This window comes from Homo sapiens, chromosome 18 (assembly GCF_000001405.40).
Source record: "Homo sapiens chromosome 18, GRCh38.p14 Primary Assembly".
Lineage (NCBI taxonomy): Eukaryota > Metazoa > Chordata > Mammalia > Primates > Hominidae > Homo > Homo sapiens.
In genome coordinates this window covers 50931810-50955856 of record NC_000018.10, presented here as the reverse complement: position 1 = coordinate 50955856, position 24047 = coordinate 50931810, and the positions used below count along the sequence as shown (strand labels likewise).

Here is a 24047-nt window from a genome sequence, read left to right as displayed (position 1 = left end):
ACTACAAGGGCACACTACCATGCTGGCTAATTTTTTGTATCTTTTGTACAGATGAGGTCTCACTGTGTTGCCCAGGCTGGCCTCGAACTACTGAGCTCAAGAAATCCTCCCACATCAGCTTCCCAAAGTGCTAGGATTACAGGCATGAGCCACCGTACCCAGCTGATATGCAAGTAATTTATATGAGAAGAAATGTCTGTGAAGGTGGGGAGGGAGCCAGGAAGAGCCTGCAAGAGCCTTCATAGCGTCATACAGATCTGATCCCAAGTGAAAGAGAGAGGAAAGAAAGAGAGGTTGAGTGAAGAAGTGCCTTAGGTTGAAGTACAGTTCTGAGCTTGGCAAGGCCACGGGGCAGGGCTTGAGCTAAAGCTATGCATCAGAGGACTCTCCTGTCTTCCAGGAATAGGCCTGTCATACCATCCCTGCTGTGAGAAGTCACTGGCTAAGAGCAGCCCACAGGAGGCATGGCTTCCATGTGAAAGCCATGATGAATTTCAGAGCGCAGCAATTGGGGATGGTAGTTACTTATATTCCCAGCAGTTGGAGATCTGCGAGGTTGTAAGTGTAATTTTTAGATCAGCTTGAGAAAGAAAATCATTTGTTTTTGAAGTTGTATTCTATTCAGTTTAGACACAGACCAGGTGGTATTTGAGGTCCACACTGTTCAGGATTCAAGAACAGAGCAGTTGTATTTGGGGAAGGAGGTGCTGCTGACCCACTGCTCTTGCTGAGGTATCTAGGTGTTATTTGCTATAGAGGCAACGATAGGCCTTTATTGGTCTGGCTACCTATTTCAGCCTCCATGCAAGTTGGGGCCTTTCACCATGCCAGCCCTCCCAATAAAGAAGTATGATGGAGTTGTCAAAAAGTGGTGTAGGCCGGCCGGGCACGGTGGCTCACGCCTGTAATCCCAGCACTCTGGGAGGCTGAGGTGGGAGAATCACCTGCACTCAGGAGGCAGAGGCTGCAATGAGCTGAGATCGCCCCACTGCACTCCAGCCTGTGTGACAGAGTGAGAACCTGTCTCAAAAAAAAAAAGAGGCGTAGGCTAGTTTTTCTCAACCTATCCCGGGAAAAGAAAGGGCCCTTTCATGAAGGTGATGGACTCTCTCCCTCCAAGAGACACAAGCATAGGATCATGTATTATTTCAGGGGCTTCGTGGACTCCTGGGAGCTATTCATGAATCCTGAGGCAAAAAAAGAACTTTTATCTGAGGGTCTCAGTAGGTATTTGTTATTATATAATTCCCCCCTTCATCACAAAATCAACATAGTCTCTCCTGATTTAGTATCTTAACATTAGGGTCTTGGTGTTTGCGTGTGAGAAGTGGGGAGAAGAAAAGGCGATAGAGAATTCCTTTAGTATCATAATTAAATCAAGTAAGAAGAGGAATAGGGTAGGGAGCTCAACAAAAGGGAATGAAAAGATGAGGAGCAAAACTAGTACTCCATAGGTGAATTTAAGTCCAACAATACATTCCCAAGAGATCAAGTATTCTGGAGAGAGAGAGAAAGAGAGAGAGTGTGTGTTAAGGTTTATATTACCAAGTTTTAAAAGTGTCCTATACACAGAGCCTTTAAAAACAAGATCATAAAGCATTTTATGCTTAAGAAAATTTTACTAAGAAAATATAAGAACACACATCTCATTACAACATATCACAACAGAGAAAAAATAATTCACATAATTCTGAAGTTTTTAGACTGATTCTTGGAACCATTTTTAACAAGTCAATCTGGTATAATATGTTCTATACAAGGCATTCCTCTTAAACTAGCATTCCCATAAGCAATTACTACAAGACTACCCATTCCGTCATCTTATCAACACTCAGATGTGAAAGGCTAAGCAATGACTTGCAATACGTGGCTTCCTTGAAGTCAATAATTAGTGCTTGGTATGTTAACAAAGGGAACACAAAAATATCAACTGCAAAAGTACGGTTTTAATTTCAGTTAAATTTAAAGGTCATTAGACAAAGTATAATAAAACATTGGGCAGACATTTTATATTGTCATATATTTAGCTAAACTAGGTCTTTTAAGAAAGTTCTTATTTCATACACATTTTTATATTACTACTTTCTAATTATTCTCACCTTTCAATGGAATATGTGTATACAATACATAGATATCACTTAAAATATACCTTATAATTGAATTGCAAATTGACAGGTGGATTCCTAAAGTGAATATTATAATATATAAGCACAACTGAAATTTATTTGCACAGAAGTGTTAACAGTTGTTGATTCTGTGAAGATTACCAAATCAAAAGATGTTAGTGAATTGGCTACTGAGACTTTTTGGTGTAATTTATTAAATTCAACACCAAATCTTTAATGTTCGTGTCGAATACTTAAAATGCTGAAGACTAAATGAATAAGACGTTTATATTATATTTGAATTATAAATGGGAACAAAGTAAAAATCAGATGAACTGGTAAAAGACTAAGTGAGGCCGGGCGCGGTGGCTCACGCCTGTAATCCCAGCACTTTGGGAGGCCGAGGCGGGTGGATCATGAGGTCAGGAGATCGAGACCATCCTGGCTAACACGGTGAAACCCCGTCTCTACTAAAAATACAAAAAATTAGCTGGGCGAGGTGGCGGGCGCCTGTAGTCCGAGCTACTCGGAAGGCTGAGGCAGGAGAATGGCATAACCCGGGAGGCGGAGCTTGCAGTGAGCTGAGATTGCGCCACTGCACTCCAGCCTGGGAGACAGAGCAAGGCTGTCTCAAAGAAAAGAAAAAAAAAAAAAAAAAAGAATAAGTGAGAATTCTCATCTGAAGTAACAATTCATGAAGGTATTAGATGAAATTGCCTACACAGAAGGCTTTCTTCACTGAGAGGGGTTTGAGCTAAAAACCCAGGCTCTGCCACACATCATAAGACCTTTGACAAGTCATTTAACCTCTCTGTGCCTCTGTCTCTGTCTGTAAATCAGGCACAGAAACAGAGGGTAAACAGAGGATTAAATATGTCGGATCCTTAGAACAGTGTCTGGTATAGAGTAGGTATTAACCACAAACTTTAGTTTGTCATTATCGGCCCACTGTATATACCAAATGTGTTGGTGATAATCCAATGGCTGTATAGGAATCAACGATTTGCTTGAATATATACTTAAAACTAGGAAAGGAAAAATTACTTTTCTAGAACATAAAAGAAAATCCTGAAAACCACTGAATATATACCCACAAGTTTCCCCTAGTCTTAACATTAAAAAGTGTGCTGAATGGAGGAATAACTCCCAATTGCAAAGTTTTTATTTGGAAAAAACAAGATTCTATAGCCATATGAAAAGTTTGTTGACAAAATGCTGTTTACCAAAAGACACTAAGCATTCAAATCACTTGACTTAATGTGTCTATTTTATGCAACTGAACTATGAACATATTTCCATATTTACTTTTCTCTTTGAGATGCACAATTTTCCTTATTCAAGAAAGGAAAATAATGTTTTTAAAATCTAATCACTAATCTATCTAAGTAACTTCTGGCAAGAATAGGATTTGTAATAATAGTCATGTCTTAATTAGGCCCACCTGAACTTACTGAAATTTGAAATAAAACACTGCTTTATTTTTTTCTCTGCTTACATTAAAAAAACTTACCCTGATTTCAGATGAGAAAGTTTTCTATGGTCAAATTGCTGTGAACTTTTTAAATATGAAGTATGTTACTTCAGCTCACCTGTAGAGAGTTTCATTTTAATAATTAGATGCACAAAGTGCAAATCACCAATCAGTTGAGAGCTATATGAATACATGGCACCTGAACACGTGTGGTCTTGTCTTGGATGGAAACAGGATGCTGGTGCCATTTCATTCTTAGGACTTCCCTTTAAATGGAAGCCCAGTAAAGAGCTATGGGTTTATATTAATGTTCTCGAGTATTACATAGGCTCACCAGAGCTGACCCCATTTTGGTGAATTCAACAGAACCCTGGAGATTTTTTTTTTTTTTTTTTTTTTTTTTTTTTTTTTTTTGAGATGGAGGCTCACTCTGTCGCCCAGGCTGGAGTGCAGCGGTGCGATCTCAGCTCACTGCAACCTCCACCTCCCGGGTTCACTCCTCAGACTCCCGAGTACCTGGGACTACAGGCGCCCGCCACCACGCCTGGCTAAGTTTTTGTATTTTTAGTAGAGACAGGGTTTCACCGTGTCAGCCAGGATGGTCTTGATCTCCTGACCTCGTGATCCGCCTGCCTTGGCCTCCCAAAGTGCTGGGATTATAGGCGTGAGCCACTGCGCCTGGCCATTCTGGAGCTTTTTAAGAGTATGAAGAAGTTAAAAAAAAAAAAAAAAAGACAACGTAACACGTCAAAGAAGAGAGGAGAAAAGAATATTATAACCTCTGTCATAAAGCTAGCAGAAACAAACAAACCAAAAAAAAGGTATGAAAAAGTTATCCTTGAAGGATACTGACTGGGCTTGAGGAAAAAAAACTATGGGAGCATTTGAAGTATTTTTCCCAAGGCAAGGCTTTCTTCACTCCGCCACCATCCCTTTTGGGTTTTCTGTTATCTGAGAGCCAGTAAATAATGCTTCATACTCCTTAATAATGACGTTTTGATCTTAATTCATTGGCAACTCATTTGCAAAAATGTAAAATCCTATTTCTCCAGAGGCTGACAAGTTACAGAAAAAGGACAAAGGATATAAGGCAAGTCATGTCATAAGAAAACTAAGAGAAATAAATGTCCATTTGATAGCTAATCTTTTACAAATGAAAATTGGTTACTAAGTTTACTAAGTATGCTACAAATCTATAATTTAGAATTAAAGAGTACTCTAGTTTTTATGTTTTCAGAAAAATATGTTCAAAAATTCTCTATTTTTGTTCTTGTAAACAGCCTGTAAAAACATAATAAAACTAGATGAAAACTATTCTGTGTAAGAACATAATTTCAGTTGATCTTTTTCATGTAACTTGAAGTATATGACACATAAACGCTAAAGAACTGCTCACTACATGCAGTATCCTGGAGCAATGCCTCTCAGCATGTTGTTCACTGTACCAGCAGCATAGGCATCACCTGGGAGCTTGTCAGAAGTGGACATTCTTGGCTGGGTGCAGTGGCTCATGCCTGTAATTCCAGCACTTTGGGAGGCTGAGGTGGTTGGATCACTTGAGGTCAGGAGTTCGAGACCAGCCCAGGCAACGTGGCAAAACCCCCACTCTTCTAAAAATACAAAAATTAGCTGGGTGGTTGCATAGACTTGCGCCTATAGTCCCAGCTACTCAGGAGGCTGAGGCGGGAGGATCGTTTGAGCCCAGGAAGTGGAGGTTGCAGTGAGCCAAGATCACGCCACTCACTGCAGCCTGAGTGAGAAAGGAAAAAGAAAGAGACCCTGTTTAAAAAAAAAAAAAAAAAAAAAAAAAAAAGCAGAATCTGAGGCCCCACCCCAGGCCCTATGCATCAGCATCAGAATCTTGTTAGTTCTCCAAAAGATTCTGCTGCCTGCTTTAAGGCAGTGATTGTGAGGGCAGAATCGGTGTGTCAGGGGTCCTCCTGAAGAGACACCAGCCAGGGCTCTGCCCCCGGGGGCCTGGAGGGAGGAGGAGCAAAGGCACCTGCATTTTAAAGCTTCACAGTGATCTGAGGCAACTTCTTGGTTATGAATCAAAAAATTTTAAAATATTTTAACTAAAATCTTGGACTAAAACTTCTCATTGTCAATAAACCTTACCCTTGCTAGTAATCCAATTTGTTCCATACAACAGGTGGTGGTGGGAGATTAGAAACACATGTATTCTTACCTTTTCCTACTACTTACTGACACTCTAATCATCAGAATTTCTTCTCAATTCAAAATAAAAGATTCTCTATTGCTGTTATTCAAAATAATTACCTTCTTGCTAGGTAAAGTCTCATCGAAGGTAATGTTTTAATTTCTTTTCCAGCTTGATGCCATTCTGGCCTCCCCCGATTTCCTCAATGCTCATAGTCCTTCCTGTATTCTTAGCTTAAATATTAAGCAATTTTACTTTAATTTACATCCAATAATTGATACTTGTTGAAAGATTGACTGGTAAATAACAATGACAATTGGGAGCTTTTTAAAAAAATAGAATTATTTTATTTAAGCAGGCTATATGCCATTTAGCCTATTTTTTTCCTTAAAATACTTAATAACTTCCATGAAGACTGTACCAGGCATACTTAATAAGCAAACTTCGTAGTAAAATTACTTTAATTCAGCATACGTTCCTGCCTTCAATAAACACTAAGCAAGAAACAGGTTTATATTTATTATATTTCTTAGGTTGAACTAAAATCAAGATTTCACACAGAGAGTATGTTTAGGCGTGATTTTGTTTTGATAAAGGGAACATGAAAAACAGAAGCCTCTCAGCCAGGTGCGGTGGTGCACACCTTTAGTCCAAGCTGCTCAGGAGGCTGAGGCAGGAGGAGAGCTTGAACCCAGGAGTTCCAGGCTGCAGTGCTCTATGACCCACGCCTGTGAACAGCCACCGCCCTCCAGCAAGGGTGACATAGCAAAACCCCATATCTAAAACAAACAAACCAAAACCCATAAACCTTTTGTCTTTAATTAAAAGAAAGGAATTGTGACCGTATGTTATGAAAAAGACTTCTGACTTTACTAATCTGTTCAATGAATTAACCAACTGCATTTTCCCATACTCCAAATGGCAATGCCATTGCGACCATTTTAAAATTATTAAATTATATTCAGAATTATGATGAATTGGACCAGGTGTGGTGGCTCACGCCTGTAATCCCAGCACTTTGGGAGGCCAAAGTGGGTGGATCACCTGAAGTCAGGATTTTGAGACCAGCCTGGCCAACATGGTGAAACCCCATCTCTACTAAAAATACAAAAATTAGCTGGGTGTGGTGGCCGGTGCCTGTAATCCCAGCTACTTGGGAGGCTAAGGCAGAAGAATCGCCTGAACCGAGGAGGCAGAGGTTGCAGAGATCATGCCACTACACTCCAGACTGGGCGACAAAAGCGAGACTCTGTCTCAAAAAAAAAAAAAAAAAAAATTGGCTGGGTGCGGTGGCTCACGCCTGTAATCCCAGCACTTTGGAAGGCTGAGGTGGGCGGATCGCGAGGTCAGGAAATCGAGACCCTCCTGGCCAACATGGTGAAATCCCGTCTCTACTAAAAATACAAAAATTAGCTGGGCGTGGTGGCGTGTACCTGTAGTCCCAGCTACTTGGGAGGCTGAGGCAGGAGAACTGCTTGAACCTGGGAGGCAGAGGTTGCAGTGAGCTGAGATCACACCACTGCACTCCAGCCTGGTAACAGAGTGAGACTCTGTCTCAAAAAAAAAAAAAAAAAAAAAGAATCAATTTGTATTCATAGGCAGAAGATGAAAAAAATGAAGTCTCTTTTTTCCTACAGAGCAATATCAAATACTGTGCATGCTCATATTATCGATGAATTATCTGTTGTTGTTACTATCCTAGAATGAGCATTTAAGTTTTCTTCCCTAAGAGCAAGCATGGTAGGCAGATATATTTTCCTTTAGAATTCTTCAATATGCAAGCCACACAAGAAAACTGTTCTGGATAGCCATTATTACCCATTTTACTGGGATTAAAAAAGGCATTTCCCAGATGAACACCAACCTTATTCATCCCCATTTAGCTCTAAATTAATGTTGGTGGTTTAAAAAAATTAAGTCTGCCTTCAATGGAGAAAGAGTTGTCACTACTAATGATATTCAAAGAAACAGTATCATAGTAACATTCCAAAATTATCTCAAGCAATAAAGAGCATCAGTTCTGGAATAAGGGCATAGTTTCTCCAGTTAAATATGACTCATTTTGATGTGAAGCATGACTAATTTAGATTTAAAAAGTCACGTGATGTTCCCATATGATTAGGTATCTTATACTCCCTCCTAGAATCATCTAGAAGTAACAAAAATATGTGTTTTTCATAAGCAAATCTAAATTTCTAGTTGGGCAATAAGATAGCATAACTGAAGCAATTAAATGTAAGATATTTATTAAATAAAAAGGTTACACTATGATTTTTATACACTGTTGAAAACAATGACTTTTATTTACTTAAAGCCAGCAGTAGTTCCCATTACTCTCATAATGTTATAGTTAAGGCTTGATTTAGTTCCAGAAAATAAATAGGGTAAATTTTTAATATTTCCCTAGCTCTGTCTGCTATAGGGAATTTCAGAGTATGAAGGTAAGATGAAGCAGATATATAAGAACATTTTTAGATAATGACAATTTTTCCTTAAAATTTGGTGAAAATTTAGTTTCTTCTCAAAATTCTGTACTTCTATCCATAAAAGTAAATTTCTATTTTAGTAGCTCTGTAAGAACTAGGCCAGAGAAGAGTATTACCCATAATAGTAAATAGCAAATACTTTGGCAAGTCTGAATTAGAGTACAAGTGAAGACATTCACAAACACACTTTTTACATCTCCTGGATGTGGTACGGGCTGTATGTTAGAATTAAAGCATCACAACTATCTGACTGTAGGGTGCTGGTGGGCAATGCAATCAATCAACACGTCTACCCCAACAGATGTGGAGACGCATGGAAAAAATACATCAACCAAAGTGGTCAGGGAGAACAAAACACAGAAAACACCATAAAACTGAAGACATTATCTCTTCTTGTCTGAAAAAAGGGGTTCCCTGGAGCACAGAAAGTATTTATCAGGGGAGTGCTTCTATTCTGTTATCACAGGAGGGCTTGATGCAGATTCTGGCCATTCATACACATCTGGCAGCAGGGAATCATATTCACTCCGCCATGTTCTTTCTTTAACATATTTGGCCTTGTCTTCAGGTTCTGGGTATCGGAAAGCCATTTTATTAGCATATAGGTATTCTGTAACCTGAAAAATAAGTAAGGTTATTGTGTAGGCTCTGAGTATTAACCTATTAGAGAGACAACGTACTATTATAACACAGGAAAATAAGTTTAGAAGAATGGCATTCTTCTTTTTTCACAGTAAAAAATAACATTGCTTTGACTCCTTTCAAAACATTTGGAAACTATGGAAAGTTTAAAAGATAAAACCAAACACATTTAAGTTCTACTGTGTCATTCTAGTAAATACATTTAGATAACCTGCCCAGCCTATGTCATTCCTCCCAGTCTTGCTGAAAGAGTGGCCTTTCTAGAGGGGCACAGAGACTATTTCCTAATCACAGCCAACTTGACCAGGAAGAAAACCTAACCCAAGGTGAGAGAGAGGTTTCTGCTCTAGAATTTGGATTAAGAGGCATAGTAATTATTATAAATCAGGATTTAGACACTAGAACTATAAGGTCAGGTGAAGTCAGGGCTAGAACCTATACAGGGGAACTGACACCACTATCACTGAGTGCCAGGCACTTTCTATGTGTTTTACAAGGATACCTCCTTTACTCTCGACAAGAACCCCAGGAGATAAGTGCTATCATTATTCTCATTCTGCATATGAGGAATGAGAGGAGTTTAAGTAACTTGCCCAAGGTAGTTACTTGAGAGCTGTTTCAAACCCAAAGCATTCTGAGTCTAGATATTAGACCCTCAACAGTAAGCTCGACTACTCCCCACCAAAGGTGGCTTGAGTGAATTTCAAATTCTCCACCCAAGCCACACACCATGATTGGTGGTGAGAATAAGCCCTTGAACCTCAGTTCTGATATAAAATGAGGAATGTGAAACACTTCCTCACAGGGTAGCACAGCACCTCTCACACAGTAAAGTTCTGAAGTCATGGTTTTATTTATTTATTTATTTATTTATTTATTTAAGATGGAGCCTTGCTCTGTTATGGATTTATTTATTTATTTATTTGAGATGAAGCCTTGCTCTGTCACCCAGGCTGGAGTGCAGTGGCACGATCTCAGCTCACTGCAACCTCCATCTCCTGGGTTCAAGCGATTCTCCTGCCTCAGCCTCCCCAGTAGCTGGGACTACAGGCATGCAACACCATGCCTGGTAAATTTTTGTATGTTCAGTAGAGATGGGGTTTTGCCATGTTGGCTAGGCTGCTCCTGAACTCTTGACCGCAGGTGATCCGCCTGCCTCAGCCTACCTAAGTGCTAAGATTACAGGCATGAGCCACCATGCCCGGCAGGTTTTATTTTAACTTAAAAAAATGTAGTGACATATGGTAGAAAAAATTCAAACAATTATAAGATGTCGCTCTCCTCCTCTAATTCTCATTCCAAATGGTAACCATTATTAAAGTTTCATATTTCAACTTTCTAAAAGAAAAATCTCAGAATAAGATGGTTATTAAAAAATAATCCTTGGTACCAAGAACTCAATCTCAGTGTATTTTGTGATAGAAAATGTGTTCAATTGTTTTCTGTTCTATTATAGAAAACATATTTTACTAATATTTTATTATCACTGACTAGGAAAAAGAAGTAGGGAAGGGCTAGATCCTCAGTGGCAGGTAACTGCAATAAAGATCTGAGGTTAAAAACCTAAGGGCTGGCTGGGCGTGGTGGCTCACACCTATGATCCCAGCACTTTGGGAGGCTGAGGCAGGTGGATCACCTGACGTCAGGAGTTTATGAGACCAGGCTGGCCAACATGGTGAAACCCTGTCTCTACTAAAAATACAAAAATTAGTCAGGCGTGGTGGCGGGCACCTGTAATCCCAGCTACTCAGGAGGCTGAGGCAGGAGAATCACTTGAACTTGGGAGGCAGAGGTTGTGTTGAACTGAGATTGCACCACTTCACTCCAGCCTGGGCGACAGAGTTGAGACTCCATCTCAAAAACAAACAAACAAACAAAAAACCTAAGGGCCAAATAAACATAACATGTCATTAGTACAGTTTGTTGACCAAATTGCTCTTCTCAGTTTTTGTACTAAACAGGAAAAACAGGAATGATATAAAAAGACAGGCAGAGATTTTTGCTTCCAGGAGGATGGAATAAACACATTTTTCCTCATTCCTTCCGACCTTGGAGAGCTGAACACGTGGCCTGCCTGATGTGAGGGGCAGTGGGAGGTGTTCTGAAGCCAGTGAGCAGCATAATTAACATAAATAAATAAATATAAATTTATAAATAAATGAATGAAGGAGAGAAGGCGGCAGACTAGACACAGAAACTCTCACTTGTGGCAGAGCATGGGAGGGAGAATGAGGCAGTGGCCACCATGCATACAATAAGAAGTCAGCTAAAATTTTAAGGAACTGCCAAAGGTCAATGTGAGCTAGTGTTTTATTCTGGAACAACTGCAAGCTTTAGACATAAGGGGGGCTCACACTCACTGCAAATCTCTTTCCCACAGGCTGGTAGTAACCACAGAAAAAGATTACGGGCAAGGCATGAGATTGGAGAAAGCTCCCCTTGGTCCTGGAGGCATGCAGAAGGTGACTGGTGGCTGTCAGAGGAGCACACACAGCCCTGCTCATAGAGCCAAAGGGGTGAATCAGTGGCTATTTGGGGTGGGGACAGACACAAAGCTCTGCCTCCTCTACTCACCACTTCCTTATTTGCTCCTAAAAAGAAAAGCCTATGCCACTGCAGACACAGCACACTCTCTACTCCTGCCTCTGGGGAAACGCAGAGACATGAACCTGGGCCTCTGTTGCTATACTAATCCTAAGCAGAGGTCTCCTTCTATGACCTCATGTACTACCTCTCATTTGGATATACCAATTATTTCTCTCTCTTTTTTCTTTCTTAGAGACAGGGTCTTGCTCTGTCACCCACACTGGAGTGCAGTGGTATGATCATAGCTCACTGCAGCCTTGGCCTCCTGTGTTTAAGTGATCCTCCCACCCCAGCCTCCTGAGTAGGTGGGACTACAGGCACATATCACTGTGCCCGGCTAATTTTTTTTTTGGTAGAGATGAGATCTTGCTTTGTTGTCCAGGGATGGTCTTAAACTTACAGCCTCAAGTCATCCTCCTGCCTTGGCCTTTGAAAGTGCTGTGATTACAGGAGTGAGCCACTCTGCCTGGCCCAGTAATCTCTTAACTGACTAATATCTTCCAAAATCTCTCCCACCTGTAATATCATTCTATAAATTCTAAAGTTGGACTCTATCATCCTAGTTCTGGGCTCTAAAATCTTCAACTGTTTTGCAGTAGAAGGTAATCATACTCCTTAGCCTGGCATTTGTATATTTGTACAGCTGGCTTTAATATAACTTTCAAATTTTCTTCCATGCCATTTCCCTACCTGTTCCCCCAGGCTCAACTATTATTCCCTGAACATACCATCCTTTACCAATTCCCAATCTTTGCTTAGGTTACAGGCACCAAAATAATGTAATAATAAAATTAATAGTCAAAGCTGGCCACAGTGGCTCACATCTATAATCCCAGCACTTTGGGAGGCCAAGGTGGGCAGATCTCCTGAGCTCAGGAGTTTGAGACCAGTCTGGGCAACAATGCAAACCCCCATCTGTACCAAAAATGCAAAAAACAATTAGCTGGACATGATGGTGCATGCCTGTGGTCCCAGCTACTCGGGAGGCTGAGGTGGGAAGATCGCTTGAGCCTGGGAGGCAGAGGTTGCAGTGAGCTGAGATCACGTCGCTGCACTCCAACCTGGGTGACAGAGTAAAACTCGGCCTCAAAATAAATAAATAAATAAATAAATAAATTTAATAGTCAAAATGATAAAATTTTATGATCAACTGTATGGAAGTTGAAATTGTGGCTGATAAATTCCACAGTCAATCCTAATGTTTAAGAAAAATCTTAGTAATCTAGAAATAGAAGACTACTTCTTTTAAAAAGTAGAAAATACTTATTTCAATCAAAAGCTAGCATCATATTTAATATTAACATACAAAGATGTTAGCCAGGTGTGGTGGCATGTGCCTCTAGCTACTCGGGAGGCTGTGGTAGAAGGATCACTTGAGCCTAGGAGTTTGAGATCAGCTTGGCAACATAGACTCTGTCTCTAAATTGAAAAAAAAATACAAGAATACCCTTATCAACCTAATTGCTTAAGACTATTCTGCAGTTTCAGCTGATTTATAGTTAGAGAAAAACGGACTATGCATATTAAAAAAAGAAAAAATTACTTGCAGACAATTAAAAACTCAACAATTCCAAATGAAATGAAAAACTATTAAAATAAGATTGTTCAAAAAACTGGTCATCAAGTAAATTCATAAAAATGAATGTTTTCAAATTAGTATTATTCCTACCTTTTCCTATATATTAGAAATGATCAATGAGAAGATACTTGGAAAGAAAAAAAAGTCTTTGTTAGAAAAACAGAAATTTAAAAATATTTAGAAAAAAGTAAAAATGCCATATTCAGATGAAGAAAACAAAATTATACTGAAACACTTTTTAAAAAAGATCTTAATAAGTAAAGAGAGATAGTGATTGGAGAATACTCAATACTGAAAGACCCAACTTCACCAATTTATAAATGCAACAATTTCATACAAAGTTGCAGAGTTTTTTAAAATTAAAAAAGCAGATACAAAAACTTGTCCAGAAGAAAACAATTTAGAACAGTCAAGAAAACACTGAAAAAGCATAATGATGGGAAAGATAAAGTACTAAATGTTACATTATACACATTATAAAATTTAAAACAGTGTCAGATAGTAAACAAAAATGGTCAGGAATAGAAATCCCAGGAACAGATTCAATTCCCAATTAACTGTAAACAACGGACGCATTAATCAATAAATAATGCTGGGGCAACTGGTTAACTACTCAGGAAAAAATGTTTCCCTTTCTCATATCATACATTAAAATAAATCCCAGAGAGATTAAAAAAGTTTTATTTTAGAAAATGCAAGTAGACAGTTATGATTTTGGAGTGACAGAAGGCATTAATATTCATAAAAGGTGAGGAGAGAATCCACAAAATAAACAAATAATTCCATAAAAAACTTTTAAAAGACATGTCAAACAATTCTATAAAGTTAAAACAAATGACAAGTGGGAAAATATCTGCACCACAGCAAACAGTATATATACACTTAATATATATATATTAATTCTTCAATCTCACTAATAATGCCTTAATAATGAGAAACAATTTTACCTATTAAATATGCAAGATTAAAAAAATAATTCTAAGTATTGGAAAAAGTGTGGAAAAAGATACACTCATATCTAATTGCTGCAATGTAAATCAGTACTTTTTCTGAAGAGCTCATTTGACAATATGCATCAGAAGCCTTAAAACACCTTAAAAACCTTTGTTCTTAAGCTTAGAATTTATCCCAAAAAAAAAAAAAACCATCACAGCCCGGGCGTGGTGGCTCACGCCTGTAATCCCAGCAGTTTGAGAGGCCAGGGCCGGTGGATCACCTGAGGTCAGGAGTTCGAGACCAGCCTGACCAACATGGTGAAACCCCGTCTCTACTAAAAATACAAAAAATTAGCTGGGCATGGTGGTGGGCATCTGTAATCCCAGCTACTTGGGAGGCTGAGGCAGGAGAGTTGTTTAAACCTGGGAGGCAGAGGTTGCAGTGAGCCGTGAGCTGAGATTCCGCCACTGCACTCAAGCCTGGGTGACAGAGCAAGACTCTGTCTCAAAAAAAAAAAAAAAAAAAAAAAAAAAAAAAGAAACCATCACAAATACACACAAAGATTTATCTGTAAAGACAGATGTTCATTACGCTGTTATTTCTTTCTTTCTTTTTTTTTTTTTTTTTTTGAGATGGAGTTTTGCTCTTGTGGCCCAGGCTGGAGTGCAATGGCACGATCTCAGCTCACTGCAACCTCCTTCTCCCAGGTTCAAGTGATTCTCCTGCCTCAGCCTCCAGAGTAGCTGGGATTACAGGTGCCCACCACCATGCCTGGCTAACTTTTTTTGTATTTTTAGTAGAGACGGGGTTTCACCATGTTGGCTGGGCTGGTCTCGAACTCCTGACCTCAGATGTTCCACCTGCTTCGGCCTCCCAAAATGCTGGGATTACAGGTGTAAGCCACTGCGCCCAGCCTACAGTGTTATTTCTAACAATAAGAAGCTAAAAACTTAAATGTCCAAAAACAGAGAAATGATGAAACAAATTTTGAAAAAATAATAAAGAGAATGCCATGCAGCATTAATGATCACATACATGAGAATTATTATTAAGTTACATGGAAAAGACTTACAATATATTAAGGGGAAAAAGTGCAGTAAGAAACCAATTATAAGAATGGGCACAGGCCAGGTGCTGTGGCTCATGCCAGTAATCCAAGCACTGTGGGAGTCCAAGGCAGGAGGATCGCTTCAGGCCAAGGGGTTAGAGACCAGCCTGGGCAACACAGGAAGACCCCTATCTCTATTCTTTAAAACAATTTTTCAAAAAGGCACAAGTGACTACATGCATGTGTGTATGCATGTATGTGTTTGCAAAGAAAAAAGACTAGAAGGCAACAAACCCAAAATAATCATGTGTGTTATATTCTGGTAGTAAGAATATGGGCCTAAAATTTCTTCTTTGCAGCCTTCTAAATGTTTCAGATTTATCTTAATAAACCTGTATTTCTTGTATAAGAAAATGTCATTAAAATTAATGTGAAGAAGTTTAAGTTATTACTTACTTTAATAGCAATGTTAATAGAAACTTCCTGAATATTAGCAAGCGGTGGGTAAAGTCTCCCTTGGGCTAGCTCTTCATCTGTCAATTGGCTTGTCAGGGCCTGAAGAGAAAAACAGCATTTTGCTTTTGTTTGTTTAAATAACAGAATAAGGACCCAGTAAATGGAAAAAGCATTGGGGAAACAGAGAGTAAAACAGGTAATATAATTCCTCTTATTTCTTGAAGGAATACACTTAAACCACTGCAGAAATTAAAACTGTTCATCACTAAACAATAAATAACCAGATTTAAAGACTTATTGATTATATTCTGCTTTATATTACACATGTAGAGCTTGGCTTAATTGCAATGGCTACTTTGAAAACAGACATTAATTGTATTAATGTGAGTTCTTCAGAAATACTTCAAAGTCTGGAGCTCCCATAGGCCAGCACTCCAAATAATACCAGTACTTGTCCATTAAAAACATGCAAGGAGTTATCTATGCTGTCACAATATATTCAGATATACAAATTGCAAGTATAGTCTAAGTGTTATTAAAACGAGAGGATTCAGTTTACAAAAATTTAAGTCATGATTAAAAAAATTAATTTTATGCATAAATAGGCAAATCATAAAAGTAATTTGAGTAACTTCCTTTTCATTAATAAGGCAGATTTAACCCATTCTCTCTCTGCCTTTAATTTTCAGATCTACTCATCTTTATAATTCATCCTTTATAAAATAAACAACATTTAAAACATTTACCTTTGCAGCTTCTAGGAAAACACTGTCACTAATATGCCGGGTGTTACAGAGAATAACAGCTAAAGCCACACCTAGAACACATTTTAAAGTTTACTAGTATGGTCACTTTTCAAATTATGAAAGAAGTAAATTCCTATATTCAGGCAAATAAATGGTAATCCATCCACATCGCAAACAGCTCCCCCCAAACAGAAAACAGCCAAGAAGAAACAGAAATCTGAGTTAAAATCAAACGATCTTTAATAATTCTTATTCGCTAAGTAATTTCAGAAATATCAAATGGCTTTTCTCAGTTTAGTTTTTACATTTATGAAAATGACAAATACATACAATTCATCAACGCTTGTTTTAACTCCAGTTCCCAGCCCACCTCTAACACTCCACTTCTTGCTCTACAGAGGCAATGACAATTTTTTTTAGCTGATTGTTTCTCTCTCTCACTCTTAAATAACTTATGTTTCTTGTGATTTTTTTTTCTCTCTCTCTCTCTTTTTTTTTTTCTTTTTTTTTTTGCCTTCTCTTATTGTGCTGATCTTGCATTTTCTGTTTTGGAGATCACTGACTCTTTCCTGTAGGAGTAAATATTTAGCGCTCTTTCATATTTTCAGCTTTCTTTCTTCTTCCCAATATAGTTAGAGCATAATTGTGGTTCAATCAATATTCAATGTTTATATCATGGTTACTTTTCCTTTTCTGCATAACTTTGTCTTTCCTGAAGTTAATAATTGTCCTTTTTCCTTTACTTTGATTTTTTAGTATTTAACATTGTTATTTCACCCTTGAACTCTCACTCAATTGTCTACATTTTCTTCTATTTTAGCTACTTTATATATTCTCGAATTTCCTGCTCTAGAATATATCTACTAAAGCTCCATTCTGGTCTGGTTGTCCCCCATTCCAGCTATGGAGCTGTCATCCTAGAAAACCCCTTTATCATTACAGGCCTCTTTGCTTCTTTCTAAGTTGATTCCATTTCCCAAATACAACTTTTCCTAGTTTATTACTCCCTCTTTTGGTAGGGTACATTCTCCCAAGGCTTTCTGAAGAACAGTGCATGGGAGATATATATTTTTTGAAATCTTGCATTTCTGAAAATGTGTTTGTTTACTTCTTTCTACTTATATTTGATAGTTTGTCTAGGTTTAGAATTCTGGCTTGGAAATATTTTTCCTTCAGAACTGTGAGGTATTATTCCAATACCATCTAGCTTCCAGTGCTGGTGAGAAGCATCAATCTGAGTTCAGAGCCTTTTCAGGTGATTGTTTTCGTTTAATCTCTGGATGCATGTAGGATCCCTTTTAAAAAAAAATTTTTTTGGCAACAGGGTCTCGCTCTGTCACTCAGGCTGGAGTACAGTGGCACAAGCTCACTGCAACCTCAACCTCCCTGGACTCAAGCGATCCTCCTACCTCAGCTTCCTGAGTAGCTGGGATTACAGGCATGTACCATCGCACCTGGCTAATTTTTTTATTTTTTGTAGAGACAGGGTTTTACTATGTTGCCCAGGCTGGTTTCAAACTTCTGGACTCATGCAATCCTCTTGCCTCAGCCTCCCAAAGTGCTGGGATTACAGGCATGAGCCACTGTGCCCAGCCAGATCCTTATTTTTATACCTAACGGTCTACAATTTCATAACACTGTGCCTTGATGTGCATTATTTTAATTCATCATGTTTAGCATTCAGTGAGTAGGCGCTTCCTATCTGAAAACACGAGTCTTTCAGTTTTGGGAAATGTTCATGAAGTCTTGAGGATTCACTTCCCTCCATTTTTCTGTTCTTGTTCCCTGACATTTATATTTTCTGATATTGTACCTCTTGGATTGGCTCTCTAATTTTCTTTATTTTCCTTCTCCTGTCCTTTGCTCTCTTTTTAGGTGACTTAACTCATCTTTTTCTTCTTTCTGCTATCAAACTTTATTTTTAGGAGCTTGTTTTGCTTTCTATTTTTTTAAAAAATAAAAATCTGTCTTTATAGGATATAATATTTTGTCCCCCTGAGGATATTGATAATTTTTAAAACTTTCCTTCTCTTCCCATTATCCTTGTTTTTTTCCCCAAGATGTCTTTTTCTGTTTGTCTGCTTTGGTCTCTTTTATGAAAATCTTTAATAAAGAGACTTTCTTCAGATGACTAGTAATCTTCAAGCATTTCTCACATTTAAGAGTTAAGAACTAGAGAAAATGATTGGAAGCTATGAGCATGAGGGTGGGGTTTACCTCCTCTGAGCATCACCGCACATGCTTTTAAACTTCCTATTTTCTAGCACCTCTGTCCTCAACTATGTCTGGTGTCTCCCAGCCTAGAAACACTGTTTTACTCTATTCAAAGAATATCCCAACTGGCTTTGAGGAAGGGTAGTCACCAGATTACCTCATGACTGAGAAGATCACATGGTTAATAGCATTTTTTTAAGTAGAGAATGTGGTCCATTTAGATTTAATGTGGTTTTTACTTTTACTTTTAGTTTTTTTTTTTTCAAGTAATTGGGGCAGATTTAGCCCCCAAACATTTAGTCTCATCACTCTCATCTCATCTTGTCTTGCCTATGTTCCTTTTCCTCTTTTTTCTTGCTTTTCGGATTTTTGTTGTTTCATTTCATCCCAACATTACCTTACCATAAACAGGAAGTCTTTGTAGTGTTTTAATGGTTATCCTAAAATTTATATCATGCATCTTTAACCACCAACGTTCTACATTAAATTTTTTTTTGAGACAGGGTCTCGCTCTATTGCCCAGGCTACAGTGCTGTGGCACGACCAAAGCTTGCTGTAACCTCAAACTCCTAGGCTCAAGTGATCATCTGTCCTCGGTGTCTGGAGTAGCTGGGACTACAGGCACATGTCACCACACCTGGCTAGTTAAATTTTTTTTGTGTGTGTAGAGACAGAGTCTCCCTATGTTGCCAGGGCTAGTCTCAAACTCTTGGCCTCAAGTGATCCTCCCATCTTGACATCCCAAAGTGCTGGGATTATGGGTGTGAGCCAATGTCCCCAGCTCCACATTATAATTTTTAATTTACCTTCCTGTCAATCAATGTAAGTCCCACATAACAGCTTAACTCTATTTAACGGAGCTATTGTTGTTGTGCATTTTAATTCTCTCTATATATATTTTTCAAAATCCCATGTGATGTTTGTTTCACTCTATATAAACAACATTCATTTTGTTGTACCCACCCACTTATTCATAACTTTCTTTGCTTTTCATTCCTTCCTACACCTTAGGGTTTCTATGTGGGATTATTTTCTTTTTCCCTAAGGAACAAAATTTCCTTTCCTTTAATATAAAAACAGTCTGCCAGGTGGTGAATCCCCGGTTTTTTGTTTTTCTGAAAAATGTCTTCATTTTGCTTTAATTCTTGAAGGATATTTTCACTGTGTAATGAATTCTAGGTTGGCAAGTATTTCCCATAAGCAACTTTAATAGGTCATTACCACTGCCTTGGTATCTTATTGTCACTGAGGAGTCTGCTGTCAGTCTAACGGTCGCTTCTTTGAAGGAAATCTTTTTGTTCTGACTGCTTTCATATTCTTCTCTTTGTGGTGATTCTGAAGCCTCACAATAATGTTCCTAGATGTAGATTTCTTTTTATGCATCCCACATGGGTTTCTGTGAGCTTTTTGAATATTGATTGTCAATCACCAGTTCTAAAAAAAAAACTCAGCCATGAGGCCGGCACATGTTGCCTCTGCTTCATTCTCATTTCTTCTAGGACTTCAATTAAAGATCTATCAATGAAATGTATGTCCCTTACCTATTTTTTTTTCTTTTTGGTCTCTCTGTGCTGCATTCTGGATTGCTTCTTCTGAGATATTTTCCAGTTGATTAATTCTCTCTGGTCTAATCTGCCATAAGCCTCATTCACTCTTTTTTTTTTTTTTTTTTTTTGAGACAGGGTCTTGCTCTGTCACCCAGGCTGGAGTGCAGTGGCCCAATCATGACTCACTCCAGCCTTGACCTCCCAAGCTCGAGTGATCTTCCCATCTCAGCCTCCTGAATAGCTAGGACTACAGGCATATGCCACTATGCCTGGCTAATTTTTTTTTTTTTTTTAATTTTATAGAGATGGGGGTCTCACTACGTTGCCAGGGCTGGTCTCAAACTCCTGGGCTCAAGCAATTCTTCCACCTTGGTCTCGCAAAGTGCTGGGATTACAGGCATGAGCCACTACACCCAGCTCACTCAGTTCTTATAGACTACTACATTTTTCAATTCTAGAATTTAGTGGTACTTGTCTTAAGTTTTTAAGATTGGCTTTTATCTCTATAAACATAATAAGCATATTTGTTTCATAGCATTTACGGTATATCCAGGGTTTCAGTGTGTCTGTTTTTCTTGTTTTTGCTGGTTTTGGCTTCTGTTGTTATGTCTCTTTATGTGCCTCATTATCTTTTTTTTTATTTTTCTACTTAGGTTGTACTTGAAAATTTATAAAAATAATTTGAGGACTAGGATGCCATTATCTTATTTCAGAGAAATTTTTGTTTGCTTCCGCTGGGCACTTGTGGGCACTGGCAGTCCCGAACAGAGGCTTGAGGTTTTCTAAATCACCCATTGCTGCTGCAAACTATACCCCCAATCCAAGGTACAGCACTTTAGGGTTTCAGTCCAGAGTGGGAGGTAGTGCCAGACTCGGACATGGTGCCGATCTTGTCCACTTTCCATGAAAAGCACAGCTGTACCTCTTAGCCACTTTCTTCCTGGTCTATATTTCCACTGTAAAACTGGCTTCAAAAGCTTGTTCTGTGCATTTGTTCCCTCCCTAACCTTGGTCCAGAATTCTCCAATATTCCATTAGAGTCAATATCTTATCCCTTTGACCCTTTTAAAGTCTTAAAAAAAATTTTCATCCGGTTGTTATAGTTGCTCAACTAGGTCATTCAAATATTAACAGTTTTTTTTTTAAGTTGCTTTATAAACAGACTTTCAGCCAATCCTCCTGCTTTTAGGCTCATTTCTGCCTCAAATGCCAGGTCATTTTATTTTATTTTTTTGAGACAGTCTCACTTTGTTGCCCAGGCTGGAGTGCACTGGCATGATGATGGCTCACTGCAGCCTGGACCTCCCAGGCTCATGCGATCCTTCCATCTCAGCCTCCTGACTAGCTGGGAATAGGGGTGTGCACCACTACACCTGGTTAATTTTTTTAATTTTTGGAAGAAACAAGGTCTCACTATGTTGCCCAGGCTGGTGTCAAACTTCTGGCCTCAAGCAATCCTCCTGCCTCGGCCTCCCAAAATGTTGGGATTACAGGCGAGAGCCACCATGCCTGACCAGGTCATTTTTAATGTCTATATTTATGGTATCCATAGCTGTTATTTAAGTTAGGATTTTAAAGTGTTATATAAAAATAATCAACTGCTAAATTCCTTAATACTCAGATATGATATAAAATATGGTTTTGCTGAATTTAGAACAACCATTCGACCCAGCAATCCTATTATTGGGTATATACTCAAAGGAATATAAATCATTCTACCATAAAGACACATGCATGTGTATGTTCACTGCAGCACTATTCACAATAGTAAAGACATAGAATTAATCTAAATGCCCATCAATGGTAAACTGGATAAAGTAAATGTGGCACATATACACCATGTGTATAAATAAAAAAAAATACTATGCAGCCAAAAAAATGAATGAGATCACGTCCTTTGCAGTAACATGCATGGAGCTGGAGGCTATTATCCTAAGTGAACTAACACAGGAACAGAAAACCAAATGCCGTATGTTCTCACTTGCAAGTGGAGCTAAGTGATAAGAACTCATGGACACAAAGAAGGGAACAACAGACACTGGGGCCTACTTAAGGGTAGAGGGCGGGAAGAGGGTAAGGATCAAACAACTACCTATCGGGTAGCATGCTTATTAGCCGGGTGATGAAATAATCTATACATGAAACCCCCTGCAACACACAATTTACCTATATAACAAACCTTCATATGTACCCCTGGAACTAAAAAAAAAAAGTTTAAAAAAATAGCTTTGTTAAAATCAGCAGAAAAGTATTTCCTTTCCTGCCCTCATGTCTTTTAGGCCATAGAAATGTTACTGAATAGAACACATTAATTTTGAACATTATCAAGTTCTAGAAAGAGATTATGGATGACAGGACAGTTTCTATTATAGAAGTTAGGTCTCAAGAGACATATAGGAAAACATGAGGGGCAAAAAAAAGGAGAAAAATATAGAAAAGTACCAGGATATTCACAGACTAAATACCCTCTTTACTTTGACAACAGTTATACATGCTTGCCTGATGCCAGCCTATATAAACTTGTCATATCTTAATTAGAGCCTGCTGTCAGCTAGTCAGGGAAAGACCTACCAGAAGAAAAAAGACACAAGTGCAAAAGAAAATCATACAAAATTCCTGTTTTACTCAACACAGTCTTGCTTAAAAGAAAGAGACAACTGAGGATCACTAGAAATTTATGGAAAATACAGCACAAAGGCAGAAACATTGAAAGGAATCCTAATAATTCTCCAGAAAAAGCTCAATGAGTACTGTAACCATTTTTGCTTTAAAAGTAGCTATTTAGAAAGAGCAATTCTAGAATAAAAAAGGTATTGGGAATAAAAATAAGTTGTTGAACTGAGGTAATGATAAACGATATTAAGCAATTATTATTAATTTCCTTTGGTGTGATACCAGTATACTGGGTGTATCTTACAAAATAAGAACACCTGGCTGGGCGTGGTGGCTCACACCTGTAATCCCAGCACTTTGGGATGGGCAGAACACCTGAGGTCAGGAGTTCGAGACCAGCCTGGTCAACATGGTGAAACCCCATCTCTACTAAAAATACAAAAATTAGCTGAGTGTGGTGGTGCATGCCTGTAGTCCCAGATACTCGGGAGGCTGAGGCAGGGGAACTGCTTGAACCTGGGAAATAAATCTATCAGTCACGATGGTAACCATCAGAAGAACTCCCAGCAAATTATTGACAATGGTTCTGAGAAGTATGATTAAGGAGGTACACCAAGGGGAGATAGAAAGGGTTACATAATTTTGTGCCATTCTGTTCCTCTGCATTTTTACAAATCATGCAATATATTATTTCTATAATAAAAACAAATTTAATTAACAATATGAATAAATTTTCAGAGAAAGTGGAGCATGCTGAATTTGATGAATTCCTTGAGTTTCCTTGTACATTTATACCAAAATTCTGTAATACTGTTGCTCAGTTCAGTCTCCCATTCCAAAGAATTCCATTAAGTATTTTTACATAATTAACTATTGCTCTATAACATAAATAATGGTGGCATTTACCTGGAAAAATATAAACATTGTTTCCTTGACCTGGTGTAAAGACTCGCCCATCTGTAAGTTTCACTGGCCCAAATGGACTGCCACTGGCAAACAAACACCTGCCCTGTTAATAAAATGAAATAACTTCAATTTTGTTATTTTCTGTGGATGAGAAAATTGAGGTGAATTCATACAAAATCAAGTCCTGAAGTAAAATAGACCAATATATTACTTGGAAGCAAGGCATAATATACTATATAACAATCTTTTCGTTACAATCCTTTTGTTAGAATGAGGTTTGTTTCATGTGTAGTATACATTCAATAAATAAATAATAAAGTTAAAAATCATTTATTACTAAAAATTTAAAAACCAGACACTTATTTTTAAGAAATTTAAGGCCAGGCACAGAAGCTTACACCTGCAGTCCCAGCACTTTGGGAGGCCAAGGTGGGCAGATCACTGGAGGCCAGGAGTTTGAGATGGCCTGGAACAGAGTGAAACCCCTATCTCTACAAAAAATACAAAAAATACAAAAAATTAGCTGGGTGTGTTGGCCCATGCCTGTAATC

At 38.4% G+C, this 24047-nt stretch overlaps 1 protein-coding gene across 3 annotated transcripts in view; it reads right to left on the bottom strand.

The window, feature by feature from the left end:
• The window catches only part of ME2 (malic enzyme 2), a 75140-nt gene continuing 52692 nt past the window's right edge, over window positions 1600-24047 (bottom strand). Inside the window, exons 13-16 of one of the 3 annotated variants that reach the window (NM_002396.5) lie at window positions 23497-23599; window positions 16217-16287; window positions 15471-15569; window positions 1600-8840 (exon numbers count right to left, since the gene is read on the bottom strand). In NM_002396.5, the coding sequence (NP_002387.1) occupies window positions 8673-8840; window positions 15471-15569; window positions 16217-16287; window positions 23497-23599 (441 nt within the window). In that variant the 3' untranslated portion in view covers window positions 1600-8672. The remainder of the gene's footprint in view (window positions 8841-15470; window positions 15570-16216; window positions 16288-23496; window positions 23600-24047) is intronic. The other 2 variants (NR_174094.1, NM_001168335.2) reach the window with 2 other exon arrangements.